The sequence below is a fragment of the Homo sapiens genome, chromosome 13, assembly GCF_000001405.40.
Source record: "Homo sapiens chromosome 13, GRCh38.p14 Primary Assembly".
Classification (NCBI taxonomy): domain Eukaryota; kingdom Metazoa; phylum Chordata; class Mammalia; order Primates; family Hominidae; genus Homo; species Homo sapiens.
The window spans coordinates 106,751,956-106,756,598 of record NC_000013.11 but is presented as its reverse complement, the minus strand read 5'-3'; the positions used below and the strand labels follow the sequence as shown (position 1 = coordinate 106,756,598).

Genomic DNA, 4,643 nt, shown 5'->3' with positions numbered 1-4,643 from the left:
AAGACCTTTGAGCACAGCCAGCCCAGAGTGCGGCCACGGGTCAGAAGTGAAGACACAAACAGCTGCTTCTTCAATAGAACCATCAGCGCTTCTCCAAGCTCCTTGCACTTGTCCACAAGCTGCCAAGCAGGGGCTATTGTGCTATTTTTATGCTGTGGGAACTTTGGCTTTAAAAACAAATGGACTAGCTTAACTATGAAATGTCAATCAAAGCTGCTAGGGTTAAGGGTGGGGGTGGGGAGAGTGTTAAAATTTTAATTAGTTTGGGTAGCTTTTTGTTTGTTGTTTTTTCACTCTGTGATCACTGTGGTTGACTTTCTTTAATTTACTGCATTCAGGTGAACAATATTCCACATGTCTTTTATCACTGGGCTTCTTTTTTTCTATTTTCTTGTGCACTGGCAGCAATCTCAGATCTTGGGTGTAGATTCACTGTCTTCTGGCAAGGATGCGCTGGCCCAGACCGATACCTGTGAGAATCCACCCAGTGCATTCACAGATTTCCCATAAGGAATACTTGTCAGAGCCTAAACCAAGCCAGGTACTTTGTTTTTTCCCCGTGTTCTGTAACTTGTTCATTAACGAGTTTGGCTCTGAAGCAAAAGAAACATGGGGAAGCAACTAAGAGTAGTAAGTGATGTCTCATTTTCTCTTTCTCAAAAAAAAAAAGGTGACAAAACAATAAAGTATACCTATGGAGGATGATGACATTGAGACTGCTGCTATGTTGGCCTAAGTTGTGATGCAGGGGACAACAGAATAACCTCCAGAATTTCTTGCTCACCATGGAACCTGTTTCACGTTTCACTGGTTATGTGCATGAACTGCGGTCGGAAGTATCAGAACAAAGATTCATACATGCAGGAGTGATCTCACCACCGGAAAGTTTCCCTGGAGAGCACATTCCAGGAGGACACGGAGCAAACCTTCCTCGCATGTTCACAGGAAAATAGTCCCAGTCCTCAACCAGCGCGGCTTCTCAGACCCTGGCATGAAACAGCCACCTTCTGTTTATAAAAAACAAACAAACAAATAAACAACAACAACGACAACACCACCATATAAAGACAAAAACGAGAGAAAGAACAGGAAAGAAAACTTTCTTAACCCTGGCAGATAAGTGCAAAATTGGCCTTTACAAATTAGAAGGAAGCTGCTTTCAGGTTGTCTGAGGAAATTTGCACAAGCATAATCTATTATAATATTTAGGTATTGACGTGATGCACCTAAAAATGAATGAAAATACATCTCGGTTCTAAAAAGCCCACATGAGCCAAATAAGAGTACCTAAGAAAACTGTCTAATTTTTTTCCACATGAGCCAAATAACAGTACCTAAGACAACCATTTAATTTTTCTCCAAAGTATAAACTCCAAAATAAATTTAGCAGTTTGATGTTAGCTAATAGAAGAGAACAGTGAGAGAATTTTAAATGGGGAAATCTAGAGTGTGGAGCTCTAGGTACAAACAATGGGAGGAAAGACTAAAGGAGTTTATTCCAAAAAAGGTCTAAAAATGTCTTCAATATCCAACTGCCCCTCAAACACAGCTACATTGTCAGGAGCCCACAGTGGTTAGCGTGAAGATAAATTCCCACTTAAAGTACCTGCTATGAAAAAAATTATAAAACTAAATGGCCAACAATAAAAAGCTGATGAAGTACACAATAATGTAAATTGTGGAAGAACAACGCAATTAGAAAATATTCCCATTATAGTATGTAAAAAGAAATGATGGAACAGAATCCCGTTTTGAAAGCTACTGGCATTGGCAGATTTGTATAGAGCTACTTAAAGAGCTCTGTGTGCATAGAAAAGGAGCTGAAATTAGCCAAACCCAAATGTTCACAGTAGTTATTACCGGATGATGAGATCATGGATAACTGTTATTTTCTTCTTTGCATTTTTCTTTGTTTTTCTTCAAATTTTCTAAAAAGAATATATATCTGCTTTTAAATCAAATCGTATTTTTAAAATTTGAACGAATTTCATTTTTCCAAATCAAAACATTAGGCCGTTATGATATTCCTTTAGAAATGATCTATTTTATTAATGCCAAACTTTTTATCCTCTAGTTTTCAGATGAACATTAGATTAATGTACATAATTACTGTTATGTATTAATAAGCAGTTGCTTTATTGATAACTCAGCAATTGTTTAACTGAATTATTAAATTAATGAAATTATTTCCTATAAGAAGGATTATGTTACTATTTCTATGACTGAATTCGTGACTTATTGAAGGTTAACAGAGGATTAGAAGGAATCAAAAATTTAAAACGTTCCTCATGGACAATGTTGGAACAGCTTCATTTCCACGTTGAAGTGAATACTCCAATGTGCACGCGTACAGACACATCCAAAGTTCCAAAAATTTCAGTCATCTCTCAAGACTTATATATATTCAAACTTAGGAGTCTTAAAACTATCATAGAACATGCATAGGAAATAAATATGAATTTTCTGTTGTTATTAACAATGACTCATTGTGAAAAGCCAAAAGAATTTTTTTTCAAATTTAATTTAATCATACATAACGCCTTATTACCTTACCTTGACAAACAGTAAATGCAAAAATATAAACCCAAGGGGCATGTTTATCAAATGCAGAACCACAGGTCACCCACCAGGCTGGTGTGAAGAAATGACATTTTCAAAACGCGTTGCATTTAGACAATTGTAGGATACGTCACAGCATCAAGTACAACTGAAAAACAAACAAAGAAAACAGCCTCTCTCTCCTGCACATTCCTTTGGAAAAAGAGTGCTTTGAAAAAGGCAGCCGGAGTAAGTAAGATGAAATCCTTTATATGGCCTACCTGTTAATATCCTAATATCTACGTTTTTTATCAATTTTGTTTTAATTACATATGCAATGACAATTCCGCTTCCACACAGAAATACTCTTATTTCCAATACTCCAAACAATAACCAAGCTGGTTTCTTCTCTCCACTACTCCACCTTGATTCCTTCCTATTTTTCATTGTGACACACACCAAAGACCGTTAATATCCTTTCTACAAATTGACTTCTAGTTACATTTCTCTTCAGTTAATAGCTTGGAGTAGGCAGGCATGAGACCATAAAAATATAATCTTTAATCTTAAGGACTTCCTGTCCAGGAAGGCTCAGGGCAGACCAAATGGCACCAAGTGAGCAGCGTGACCTGCCGTGCTCCCGGCGTGAATAAACAACCCTGATTAAGAGTTACATTCTGCTAAGGGATATTCTCAATGTTTCTGCGACAGAAACAGCCATCTTGCCTACACTGAAATTTCAGTTTGTTTCCCCTGGAATAAAATAAAGCTTGTTCACAGGGTGAATGCACCAGAGTGTTGAATTTCCTTTCCTGGGTTAGAGAAACACAATAATTCTGTTATGGTCCTTCCCACTTGCACCTAGAAATGACCAAAAAAAAAAAAAAAAAAAAAAAAAAAAAGAAGAAAAGAAAAGAAAAAAAGAAGGGGAGGTGCAAAGCAGTTTGACTTAGACCCAGCTGTTAGTTTTTCTTGCAGCTCCAGTGTCCTGAACAATCGCCTGGTTGAATCCCCTTTGCTTTTTAAAGCTCTTACAATGTCCCTCTGTGTCACAATGGAAGCCACTCAGCCTCAGCCACAGCTGATGAGCTCCTGCATCTTATCATACGTTTTGAAATCACGCCAATCTAGGACTTCCCACTTTCTTCAGCTTCTCACTCTGGATTCTCTCCTTTGCCCATGAGAAACACATACTCTTCTGAAAACAATGGGCTGTAAAATGAGAAAAGTTAAGAATCAGCATCAATTTCTCATAAATCTAATTTCCATTTTCCCACCAGTCTGAGTTCTGGGTACAAACTCTCACACACACATCCTGTGGGAAATGCTTGTTCATGTCCGTAGAACTAACCTAACACTCAGTTGGTTTTTTCTCCTTGGTGGAAAGAAATACGATAATTCAGCGGAAGAATTGCCCAAGGAGGTTGTTAGAAATGAGTAGATTTATTATAATTTCTTTTTTTGTCCTGACTGGGTGCGGGAAGGCAGATATACGTATCTATAGAAAATGCATATGAATATTTTTCCTTTTTTTGAATATTTTTTTCATGTTAACTTGCAGTAGCCTGGGAAGAACGTATTAAAACTATATTTTTACCATTCTGCAGAAAGATATAGTAAAGACATTTAAAAGAAAGCATGATAATATGAAATAGTTGTTCATGAGAGATCATCTGAAAGTATTTTACTCATTTTGATACAGCAGAGAAAAATAAGATTTTATAGATACTGATAAAAACATCATATAAATATTGAAGGGAAAGTATTCTAATCTGTTAACTAAAAACAGCCTAGAAAGAAGTTGCTGTCATTGGAGGATCAGATTCAGTATGAACCCCTTATTTTAGACTTCTTAGTCTCAAAGTCACGTTAAGGAGACATTTTACTCATCATAGTAGTATATGCTATTTCTATTAGTTTGAACATTTTTCCTTACTTTTATGATGAAAAAATAAATGGGTAATGCTGAAATCTAAGAAATAAAAATATCTTCTTTTAAAATGTGATTCCTTTAATATTTCTGTCTTCCCATCTTTTCAAGTCATATGGTATGAGTAACATTTCTTAATCAGATGTCATTGTTTAGATCTATGAGTGTAAGTATG

The 4,643-nt window shown here is 36.3% G+C and overlaps 1 long non-coding RNA gene across 2 annotated transcripts; it reads right to left on the bottom strand.

Annotated features, from left to right (window-relative positions):
- Window positions 1-556: 556 nt before the first annotated feature.
- On the bottom strand, window positions 557-3,136 carry LOC107984627 (uncharacterized). Of its 2 annotated transcripts, XR_001750002.1 has the most exons (4): window positions 2,554-3,136; window positions 1,861-1,928; window positions 693-1,007; window positions 557-593 (listed from the first exon to the last, which is right to left on the bottom strand). It is a non-coding gene; the product is annotated as an uncharacterized LOC107984627 (long non-coding RNA). The 2 variants fall into 2 exon arrangements; XR_001750001.2 differs by having other exon boundaries at window positions 557-1,007.
- Between the last annotated feature and the right edge of the window lie 1,507 nt (window positions 3,137-4,643).